General features: G+C 54.2%; 1 protein-coding gene across 10 annotated transcripts in view; it reads left to right on the top strand.

The window, feature by feature from the left end:
* The window catches only part of SCN5A (sodium voltage-gated channel alpha subunit 5), a 101,626-nt gene that overhangs the window by 35,808 nt on the left and 53,996 nt on the right, over positions 1-11,822 (top strand). For 8 of the 10 annotated variants that reach the window (NR_176299.1, NM_001160161.2, NM_001354701.2 and 5 more), the window contains exons 7-12: positions 3,916-4,146; positions 5,666-5,729; positions 7,070-7,211; positions 7,732-7,929; positions 8,972-9,151; positions 9,797-10,168. Coding sequence is in view for 9 of the 10 variants with exons in the window: in NM_001160161.2 (NP_001153633.1) it covers positions 3,916-4,146; positions 5,666-5,729; positions 7,070-7,211; positions 7,732-7,929; positions 8,972-9,151; positions 9,797-10,168 (1,187 nt within the window). In the remaining variant the exon portion in view is untranslated. Of the gene's footprint in view, positions 1-45; positions 138-3,915; positions 4,147-5,665; positions 5,730-7,069; positions 7,212-7,731; positions 7,930-8,971; positions 9,152-9,796; positions 10,169-11,822 lie in introns of all 10 variants that reach the window. The other 2 variants (NM_000335.5, NM_198056.3) reach the window with 1 other exon arrangement.

The following is an 11,822-nucleotide window of genomic DNA, read 5'->3' as shown; positions in this document are numbered from 1 at the left end:
TTGGTGTGTTGTCATTGTCTCGTGTGTGAATTTCCCTTGTTACAGATACACAACTGAATTTGTGGACCTGGGCAATGTCTCAGCCTTACGCACCTTCCGAGTCCTCCGGGCCCTGAAAACTATATCAGTCATTTCAGGTGAAAATCAGGTTAAACACCAAGGCTAGAGGGATATGCCTGGGCCTTTCCAGCCACCTGGGAGCCAAGGCAACCCTCCAGAAGGCCCTTCGAATGTGCCTGTCACCAGAATACCTTTCCCAGGGCTCAGGTGCCAGGGGCTATTGGCAGTGGACATGCTTGTCCCCCTGGAGCCTCAGAATGGGCTTCAGGCTGCCCACCCCAGCAAAGCCCACTCTCATAGACACCAGGGGGCACAGAGCACCCCACGGTGGGGCCTACACTGAACCTAAATTTTTTCCAAGATAGTGGACTGCTTTTCCAAACCACACTCAGCTATTTGAATAGCTAAAAGTTTTACATGAATTGCTTCAGCCTGAAATGTCAGATTCTGATGAGGAAACCAAAAGAAGTGTGTTTGTGGGAACCCCCACACACACCCGGAGTGAAAGAGGAAAACTCCAGCACGGTCCTTCATGATTGAGTGCCTCGGCCCGCCTTGTGCCCCATCTGGTGATAGAAGTAGGGCCAGAGCCCCAGCCCCATTTTGTGAAACAAAGCATAATCTGTGGACAGGCATCATCGGGCCTTGGTGTCTAACAGCCCTCGCTGCATGGTGCGGTAGAGGTTTAGCAAACCATGCATGGTAGCCTCAGGAAGAAATTCTCCTTGACAGATGTTGGCAATTGCATCTGGGAAATCTAGGCCCAGATAACATCTCTAGAAACCATTCCATCCATCCATCTAGGAAAACTCTGAAAAGACTTGTGATTTCTGAGCCTGGTTGTGCGATGGGCCGGTGCTGAAGCTGAGTTCCACCCAGGAGACATTCCTATCCTAAGTTTGTATTCCCTCTCCCCAGACTCAAAGCTCCTCCTGTTTGGAGGAACTTGCTCTGGAGGGGCAGTGCCCAGAGGTTCCTTCCAGAAGTCTTTTCCGAAAGCAGCCACACTTAGAACTGGGTAAGGCACCTCTTTTAAAAAGACAGCCCAGCAGGGCACAGTGGCTCACATCTGTAATCCCAGCACTTTGGGAGGCCGAGACGGGTGGATCACTTGAGGTAAGGAGTTCAAGACTAGCCTGGCCAACATGGTGAAACCCCATCTCTACTAAAAATATAAAAATTAGTTGGGCGTGGTGGTGCACGCATGTAATCCCAGCTACTTGGGAGACTGAGGCAGGAGAATTGCTTTAGCCCGGGAGGTGGAGGTTGCAGTGAGCCGAGATCACGCTGCACTCCAGCGTGGGCAACCGAGTGAGACTCTGTCTCAAAATAAATAAATAAATAAATAAATAAGGCAGCTGGAGATAGGTTGCATGCCATCATTCTAGGGAGGTGTGAGAGCTGACGGAAGCATCGGTTGAACCAGATGGCTACATCCGCACCTGATGTGGAACCTGGTGGCTCCCAGGCCTGCATTGAGCTATTGTCGCCCCCAAGGAGTCAGAAGCCCTGCTCTAAGCTCCAATAAGGAATCTGGACTCCCCCTGGTAGGGCTAGTTATCTTGCCAGAGCAGCCCCCAGTTATGCTATGTTCACATTGAGCTTTCTGGCCTCTAAACCCACTATAGTATGTTCATAAGGGCCGCATCTCCCCCAGAGCTCCCACAAGTGGCCCAGACCCCTGCCAAGGGCCAGTAGCAAGGAGGCAGTCTGCTCCCGCTCAGTCCCATGGAGCCACCTGCATTGAGACAGACATCATGGGCCCTGGCACACATAGACTCAGAAACCACATGGTCTGTCCTCTAGGGCCCTGGGGAGAGCCTCACAGGCACACACCCCACCGAAGTAGACAAACACACTAACCACAGGACTTAAGGCATATTCCTGGTGTGTTTTATAAGAAAGATTTACAAAGGGAAATATTTCTCGGTCCTGGGGAAAAGGAGGAAGCCCACCAATCTCAGCCTAGCTCCATGGGACCTCTTCGCAGCTGCCAGCAACCTAGTGAGCCAGCAGGCTCTGAAAGTGGCCAATAGAAAAATGCCATGGTCGGCATTATGGAAGGCCCTCGGGAGGAGGTGTCCTCTGAGCTGAGTCTGAAATAGCCCTAGTCCTCTCTAGACTCAGTCGCTTTTCCATAAAATGAGAGTGAAATCAGAATTGGTGATTTCCAAGGGCTCTTCCACCCAGCCTGTTAATTCAGTGGCAGGAGGATTTCCCAGTTGATCTCCTGGGGCCAATCCCTTCCTGGGTCTTTTCAGAAAGAATCCTGCAGTTTCGTTGCAACCATTCTTGCCAGAAGTGAAATCTATCATCAGTATGAGAAATGTTCAAAGGGGTGAGTTACCCTTGGCCACTATGTCCACAGACCAGGTCAGGGGGTGCTTTGCTGGCCTTGAATGGGATACTTCAGGCCAAAGAGACTTTAGCCTAACAATTGAGGCAGAGACCAGTTTGGGTATTGGAGCTGCTGTCCATCAGTCTTCACTTTGTTCCCTTCGAGACATGCAGGTCTCCAGCCCAGTAAACCCACCAAAGGGTACAGGAAGCTCTGTTACAGATGAGGAGCTCTGGACCATGAAGAGCTTGTGAATCTCACCACCGCCACTACTCTGGACCCAGACCTGTGAGGTCCACCCACTGCCCAGGCAGTTGCCAACATCTGCCAGGAACGATTTCCACAAGGAAGGCTGAGTGCCTCTGAGCCCTGGGTGGGCAGCAATGTCAGTGGCACCATGGGGAGGTCATCCTCTCCCCATCTTGTGTTTGCTCATCATGGCCTCCCTGCCTGTGGGTCACAGGCCCAGCAGCAGCAGGCACAGAAGCCACAGGCGCTCCTAACACATTAACCGGCTGGACAGTGGATGGATGGAGCTTAATCTGAGATCTGGCCGCTTGGGACAGGGACATGAGGGGCAGGGCCCTGCCGCTGGCAGAGGAGCCTCCTCATTCCCCATGCTCTGCTTGCACTTGTCCTAGGACAGTCGCTAAGGGCCAGACTGGTGTCTACACATGCTTTTCTGTCATTCTGCTATGTGGTGCTGGCTTCTGCAGGGAGCTAGGCTGTGCAACTAACAGAACACAGCCTCTCAGCTATGGGAAATGGGATGGATGGGGGTGTGGGGAGGTTCTAGAGGGACAGGGCAAGTGAGAAGATGCAATGCAGGTCAGTCCTGTTCCTGAACCTTCCCTAAAGGTGGGCCTGAGCCAGCGCAGGCCCCTTAGACATCACCCGCCATGACCCCGCCAGACCGTCACCCACAGCCCCCAGCACACACCTGACCACAGCCCTCAGCCCCTACCCGACCAGACCCTGGGCCCCTAGTTTCCTCCAAACAATCCACACTCCCTGTACATCAAATAGAGCCAGCCCCAGCAGTGGGGCAGGAGGACCTCCAGCAGGAATGGCTCTATTTCTCCCCATCTCAAGATCAAGGCTGAGGCCCCTCAATTGCCTCCATCTCCTTTTCCATGGACTACATTAAAAGGGGTAGGCCTAGCACACCTTCAGACTAGCCAAAGGGGGTCATGCTCTGAGTATGTGTTGTCTCAAGAAAGCAGCACTTTCCACACCCATGCCATATATTTGGCTGGTGGAGAGCAAAGAGGAGCAGGCTCCCTCTGAAACTACAAAGCCAGCCTAGACTCCTGCCCAGGGAAATCAGGACAGAATCTCAGCTGTGAGGAAAGTGGGGCTTGGGTCTCAAAGCCCAGGAGAAGCCTCCCTTATTCTGTCCCCACCTCTGGTTGCCTACACTGGCCCCACCCCAGCTCAACTCAGGCCCAGCCCCCCACCAGTGGAGCACAGAGCTCGGTGCCCCTGGGTGACCCCGTGCTTGTTCTTGCCTTCCCCAGGGCTGAAGACCATCGTGGGGGCCCTGATCCAGTCTGTGAAGAAGCTGGCTGATGTGATGGTCCTCACAGTCTTCTGCCTCAGCGTCTTTGCCCTCATCGGCCTGCAGCTCTTCATGGGCAACCTAAGGCACAAGTGCGTGCGCAACTTCACAGCGCTCAACGGCACCAACGGCTCCGTGGAGGCCGACGGCTTGGTCTGGGAATCCCTGGACCTTTACCTCAGTGATCCAGGTGCGAACTTGCTCTGCAGCTGGGGAAGACTTTGTGAGACCAGCAGACCGGGGTCACCTCCCACACACGCGTCACCAGAGGGCAGGCCTCCAGGGCTGTTCAAGCCCTGCCTGATCCCCCAGAGACCCAGACAGAGGACAGACGGGTAGCAGACTTAGGGCCTGCCTTGTGACTTCCCAGGCTAGACGGAGAGGCAATGCTTGAGGAGTGGAAAGTATGGAGTTAGATAGAGGGCCAGTTGGCTGCGGCATTTGGAGATGGGACTGACCCTAGAGTGTTGCAATGGCAAGGTGACCAGCCTGCCCACAGAGTGTCAGCTTAGGAAAGGGGTGGACATGGAGCCAGCGTAGTTGATGAGGCTTCAGAGTGAAGCCCCACCTAGCTGGCATGGAGATTTCCCAGTTGCCGTCAGTGTTCCTTGCCAGGATGCTCGTTCCATATACGTGTACCCCAGAACCCTGCAAGAGGGTTGGAACAAGCCCAATGATTGTGCCAAGTTGTGTGAGCCCCTCTGTTGTTTCACTGCCCCGTGGCTCACACTTCCATTCTCCAGGCTGATGGCCAGCACCACTCTTGACTAGAGCCATTGGTCTGTTTCGGAGGTACATGCTGCTGCAAGGCCAGATTCCAGGCCACAGGACCCTGGGCCAGAATGACCCTGAGGGCCATTCTGAAGTTAGGGCCTCTTACATACACCAGCAGTCCACTTTGGAAAACAAAACATAGACACTCAATGAGTAGTTCAGCAGTGGCCTCATAACAGCAGTTCTAAAACTTCCATGTACACCCAAGTCACCTAGAAGGCTCTGGAAAACAGACTTCTGGGCCCCACCCCTAGAGTTTCCGAGTCAGTAGGTCTGGGTGGCAGTCAGGAAGTTGCATTTCTAAGCAGTTTCCACTTGATGCTGATGATGCTGGTTCGAGGACCATGCTTTGACAACTGTCGCCTAAGACAAAGCCAGGTAATGGTGAGTGTTGGGGACTGATGACTTGCCACAGAAAGGAGAGGACAAGACGGGCAGTCCTGTCTGGTGTAGCCCCATCCGGACAGACCACAGCGTTAGCATGGTGACTATTGCAGGCATCACTTCCAGCATTTTATGTGATGGAAGTGAGTACAGAGCTGGGCAGTAGCCGGCCAAGGCCCCACAGTGACTCGGCAGCCAAGCCGTAACTGCCCAGACCCTTGCCTCCTGGCCTTGGTGGGCCCCCTGAGTGGTTTCGGGTAGGGTGCAGAAGCTTCCTGTGGGGAGAGCTGAGGCCCTGCCCAGGGCTTCCCGTGTCTTCTGAGAGCATGGGGACACTGGCAGCAGGATGTCTTCAGAGGAACAGAAGGAAGGCCAGAGGCACAGCCAGAGTTGCCTGAAGCCTGGCCAGGCAGAGGGCAGGGGCAGGGGCAGGGAAGGGGCAGAGAAGAAGGAAGACCGCTAGTGAGGTCTCCACCTCCCCAGAGCCCTGGATGCAAGGCGGAAACTTTTGGGCCAGAGTGCCCCTCACCAGCATGATGTTTCTCTTACAGAAAATTACCTGCTCAAGAACGGCACCTCTGATGTGTTACTGTGTGGGAACAGCTCTGACGCTGGGTATGTGGCACCTACCACCCCGGGTCTCCTTGTCCTGCCAGGGGAGTCTCCTGGTGTTTTCTCAACTGACTGTATTTTCTATTTATGCCCTGACCCCAGGGACAGCGAGGCCTTCTTTTGTCTCCCTTACCTGCCAGGACCCTTCCCCAGCTTCCCCACCTTGCCCCCAGCACAGAGGAGACAGCTTCTGGAGAAAGGTCAGGGACAGAGCTGCAGGGAGAGCTAACGGAGCCCTGAAGGTGGGCTGGGACTGAGGGATAGCCTGGGATGCCTTCTACAGCCCCCCAACCAGCCCACCCCCAGCTCCATTCCCTTCCAGAAGCTCCCCAGAACTGCTCCCTCCAGCTCCAGTCTTCCCTCCGTTGCTGCTGATCTGTCCCTTGGAGCAAATGTGGTTTCTCCAGCAGCCTGGACTTTCCTTGAGATGCCCAGTAGCCATGTGCAGCTTCCAGGGCCCTGTGCACACCAGGGCCTGGATCACTGTGACAGTGCCATGGAGTGTTGGAGAAGGGGGTCACAGAGGGCCACCTCAAAGGAGAAGTACCAAGTTTGTTGCCTCCTTCCTGTCACCAAAGAGATTGTCTGGAGGGTCTTGGGGCATTAGCAAGACACAGAGGTCCCTTGGATGCATCCATCCACTTGCTAAGTCCCTCGTGTGTGTGTGTGTGTGTGTGTGTGTGTGTGTGTGTCATACACACATACATGCACACATGACTCCAGACCAGCATTTCCTCTTTGGAGAGAGGCTACCACCTCCAGCTCTGTGAACTGTGAATCTGCCTCAGTGAACCAGTGGCTGTGTGCACAGTTGTGCAAATGAGCTCCTGACATGGCCAAGCCCCAGCCCATCCCCTCCAGAATCATTTCTCAACCCCATGGCCCTGCCTTTGCCCTGGGCTCATCCTGTTCAGCTCAGCCGAGGCTCACTGCTCTCCCCAACCCTGCTCTCCCCCATGCCCATGCTGTACTCAACTCCTCATGGGGTAGATGGGCAGAGGAAGAGACATGAGCCAGGCTTGTGTGCTTCCTCTCTGTGAGGAGAGGCAACTTGATAGTAGCTGGGGATGGTGTGACGTATGGGCAGAAGGGAGCTTGATTTAGGCCTAGCAGAGTACATATAAGAAGAGTAAAGAGGAAGATAGTGTCCCAGTGGGAGGCACAGCACGAACAAAGTCACGGAGGCAGGATCCAGCAGCGTGGCACTAGGTTTGTGAAGCTCAGCTTCACTGAGCTGTGGGGCATAAACTGGGTTGCCCAGGGAGACAAGTCCAGCCCAGCAAGGGTCTCAAGGGCAGCAGACCCCTGACGGCATGGAACAAAGTCTCTGTGTGTGGCTGCAGGACATGTCCGGAGGGCTACCGGTGCCTAAAGGCAGGCGAGAACCCCGACCACGGCTACACCAGCTTCGATTCCTTTGCCTGGGCCTTTCTTGCACTCTTCCGCCTGATGACGCAGGACTGCTGGGAGCGCCTCTATCAGCAGGTGTGTGTGTGCCCACAAGGGACAGCAAGTGTGGGCTCAGGGTCCAGGCTACACAAGTGACTAGCCAGAAGTGGCCCCAGCAGCCTCCCCACTGGTGGGAGCTTTGGAGGGGACAGGGGACAAGGACCCTTGCTTCTGAGGGAGAAGGGATCAGCAGCAAAGAAACTTTCTTTTTGCTGGTGATGAAGTACCAGTCCCTTTGTATAGGATGCTCTCTGCTCTGTGAGTGGGACACTCTTTCTCCCTGTAGGATGGAATATTCTCCCTCTGTGGGCACAGCATGCCCTGAGTTGGGTGGAACATTCTGCCTCCCTCCTCAGGTGGGACACAGTCCCGCTGTGTGCAGGTCATTCTCCTCTGCAGGTCAGTACATGTCCCTCTCTATAGGTGGGACATCTCTACCCTCCTCCCTAGGCTATGGCTATTTGAACCCCTGGCACAACTAGACTAGGTGACTTGGAAATGCCATAACCCAGAAGGGGCCCCAGTGAGGGTGACCTCTGCCCCCTTGCTCCCCCAGACCCTCAGGTCCGCAGGGAAGATCTACATGATCTTCTTCATGCTTGTCATCTTCCTGGGGTCCTTCTACCTGGTGAACCTGATCCTGGCCGTGGTCGCAATGGCCTATGAGGAGCAAAACCAAGCCACCATCGCTGAGACCGAGGAGAAGGAAAAGCGCTTCCAGGAGGCCATGGAAATGCTCAAGAAAGAACACGAGGTGGGTGAGCAGTGCCACCGAGGAGCCTCTAAGCCCTCACCTGACTGTAGGTGCCTATAGGTGGGGTATATGCCAGTTAAAGCTGGTGCCTGTGGGCGTGGTACATGCTGGGTAAAGCTGGTGCCTGTGGGCATGGTGCATGCTGGGTAAAGCCAGTGCCTGTGGGCATGGTGCAGTGCCTGCTGGGTAAAGATATTTTCTGTGAATGTGGTATCGCTGAGTAAAAATTTGGAACCTGCTGGGTTAAGACGTGCCTGTTAGTGAGGAGCCTACTAGGTAAAAGTGACATCTGCTGGGTAAGGTGGGTCCTATGAGTGTGGCTTGTGCTGAGTAAACTTGTTCCCTATGGTCGTCATGTCCTCCAGGTGAAGGTGGCGCCAGCTGGGTAAAAATGGTGCCTGCTGGGTGGTAGCTCCTGGGTAAAGATGGTCCCTGTGAGCATAGTGCATGCTGGATAAGAGATGCATGTATACATGCACATAGTTTATTCTGGTCAAGGGATGCCTTCTGGTGGGGTAGTGAAGAAGGTCCAATGTCAGAGAACAGAGCTGTCTCAGAAAATAAGCACTGACAATGCTGCCCTAGCCATCCCTAGTCCCCCACATGGTGGAGCCTGGAGGCTGGCTATAGAGTGAGCTATTAGAAGCCAGAGCTATTAGAAGCATCCACTTGTTCTTCTCACTACCCCATGCCACATATTCCAGTACACTTTTGGCCAGCTAAACCTTCTAGAAGAGCCTCTGCCTTCTGGTTCTGCCACTTCTCTGCTCATCTACACCCACCTCCCACCTGTTCCACACACTCCAGTCTTCCGAGGCTGCCCACTTTAGCCACTCCTATCTTCCTTCCTGGATCTTGATCTTTCCCAAAACATTCTGGGTCTGTCTGAGTTTATCTCCATGATGTCCTCATTTTGGGGTAGGTGTGCAAGTCCACTTACTGATAGGGAAAACCAAGTCACTGAGAGTTGCCTGGCCTGCCTGAGCCTGAGGCTGCACAAAGTCTCAATGATGGAAACGTCCGTTCCTCCACTCTTTTCCAGGCCCTCACCATCAGGGGTGTGGATACCGTGTCCCGTAGCTCCTTGGAGATGTCCCCTTTGGCCCCAGTAAACAGCCATGAGAGAAGAAGCAAGAGGAGAAAACGGATGTCTTCAGGAACTGAGGAGTGTGGGGAGGACAGGCTCCCCAAGTCTGACTCAGAAGATGGTCCCAGAGCAATGGTAATCCCAGCTGTGGTTCTAGCTTTTCCAGGGTGGGTCTGGCATGAAAATCCCATCATGCTAGGCCCCTGTACAGTCACAGCCCCCATGGTTGCTCATCTCTGCGCTTCCTGTTTCCCATGGCCTTCCTTAGAGTAGGGGAGCTCTGGGCAGAGGGACAGGGTAGTTTTGGGTGTTGTGATATCCCCAACCTGAGGCCAGTATCCCGGCACTGGAGCCGGGGCTGGGGGACGAGACCCCATGGTATGGGTTGGTAGGAGTTCAAGGACATGCCCATAAGAGTGAGGGTCCATTCCGAGTGCCCCAGGTCCTCCTCAGGCCGGGCCTGTCTGCAACACCAGGAGCCTTCCTGCCTCCTTCTCCCTTGCCCAGCCTGAGCTCTAACTCCAAGCCCAGTTAAGTTTCAGGCTCCCAGCTCCAGAGACATAGATTTGAGGGGAGTAGACATCCCAGAAGATACAGGATTATCTCTAACCCCACATCCCCTCTTCCAAATACCCCCGGCCCAACCCACCTGGTTCCTGTGTGGCCAAAAAAGCCCTCAATGCTCTGAGAAGTTTAGCTGAGGCCAGTGGCACAAAAGACAGGCTGGGAGCACATGAAGAGCACATGTCATGGTCGTGTCCCCTCTCCTCATGCCCTTAGAATCATCTCAGCCTCACCCGTGGCCTCAGCAGGACTTCTATGAAGCCACGTTCCAGCCGCGGGAGCATTTTCACCTTTCGCAGGCGAGACCTGGGTTCTGAAGCAGATTTTGCAGATGATGAAAACAGCACAGCGGGGGAGAGCGAGAGCCACCACACATCACTGCTGGTGCCCTGGCCCCTGCGCCGGACCAGTGCCCAGGGACAGCCCAGTCCCGGAACCTCGGCTCCTGGCCACGCCCTCCATGGCAAAAAGAACAGCACTGTGGACTGCAATGGGGTGGTCTCATTACTGGGGGCAGGCGACCCAGAGGCCACATCCCCAGGAAGCCACCTCCTCCGCCCTGTGATGCTAGAGCACCCGCCAGACACGGTGAGCCAGCCCCGAGATGCAGGCACCACAGCAGGTCTGGTCTCCCAAACTGATCACCAGTGCCAAGTCCAAAAATACACGTCAAATATTTGTTGAGCACCTACTGTGTGCTGGGCTCTAGGTGCATAAACTTACAAAAAAAAAACTGGGCCCTCATAGAGCATCCATGCTAATGGGGACAGACAGACAAAACTCAAAAGAAAGCCAGGTGCGATGGCTCACGCCTGTAATCCCAGCACTTTGGGAGGCCGAGGTGGGGAGATCACCTGAGGTCAGGAGTTCAAGTCCAGCCTGGCCAACATGGTGAAACCCCATCTCTACTAAAAATACAAAAATTAGCCGGGCATGGAGGCGCGTGCCTGTAATCCCAGCTACTTGGGAGGCTGAGACAGGAGAATCACTTGAACTCAGGAGGCAGAGGTTGCAGTGAGCTGAGATCATGCCATTGCATTTCAGCCTGGGCAACAGAGTGAGACTCCATCTCAAAAAAAAAAAAAAAAAATCAAAAAGAAAAAATGTCTATATTGTGTGTAATGGTGATAAAGAGGGATGATAGTTAACTATGTCACAACTAGTAAAGCCTTCATTACCATCATCTGGGGAAGCCTGTTCCAGACACAAGGAACAGCAAATGTGAAGGCCCTGAGGCAGAACTCTGCCTAGCCTGTTGGAGGAGATGCCACGAGGTCAGTGTGGCTGGAACAGAGGGAGCGACGGGGAGAGAAGTTGCAGTGACTGTTACAAAGGTGATAGGAAGGGACTGGCCAGATTGTGAAAGGCCAATCAGAGCTTTGGTCACTTAGTCAGTTCTATGACAGACTGATGGCTGCCCAATCAGCCATCAGGTGTCCTTGCTGACCCCAGGCCCCCAACACAGTGACCAGAGCAGCCCACCCAGGAAAAAGCTGAACATCTGGCTCAACCCCCAAGGCCTGCAGAGCGCACTTGGAGAGGAAGGTAGAACAGATGGGAGGCTTGACCAGGAAGGTGGAGGATGGCCTGAAGATGCAGGGCTCCCAGCCACGTGGCTTATTTTGTGCCACTCAGACTCTCGCTCAATCTGTGGGACTTGGTACAGGTTAATTAATCTCTTTGTGCCTCAATTTCCTCATCTGTAAAGTGAAAATTATACGCCAGCAAGTTGTGGTGAGGACTGAAAGAGTGCAACTAGGTCCAGTGTTGAGACCAATACTTGCCTGGTCTTAGAGCCATTAGTATTATCTGTTATTGGTATTAGTAAGCAGGAAGGAGTGAGGATCCTGGGGTACACTGCAGAATGCCCAGGGCCCCACACTCCTCTGGAGCACAGGGTGAAGGGAGGAAACTGGGCACCCCTGGGGGCAGACCACAGCTTTAGGTAGAGCTGGGGAGGCCCTGGCCCATCTGAAGGGTGGGGTGTCTAGTTTCCAGGAACACTGAACCAGGCAGGTTCAGCCCTGGAGCCTCAGCCTCATGGAATCGGGTCAGCAGCTGGGAGCGCTAATAGAATTTCCTAATCTCATTAAGGAGAAAATCATCTCATTGTACTGCACATGTCGGGAGGAATCCAAGTTCAAGCACTTCATTACCAGGAATTCTGACTTCACCCATTCTCACTTCTGTGGGGCCCATTTGTAACCTTAAAGGGATTAGCAGGCCAAGACAGGGTCATTTG

Source organism: Homo sapiens, chromosome 3, assembly GCF_000001405.40.
Source record: "Homo sapiens chromosome 3, GRCh38.p14 Primary Assembly".
Lineage (NCBI taxonomy): Eukaryota > Metazoa > Chordata > Mammalia > Primates > Hominidae > Homo > Homo sapiens.
Note: the sequence above shows the minus strand (reverse complement) of the source record. Positions and strands in the feature narration are given on the sequence as shown.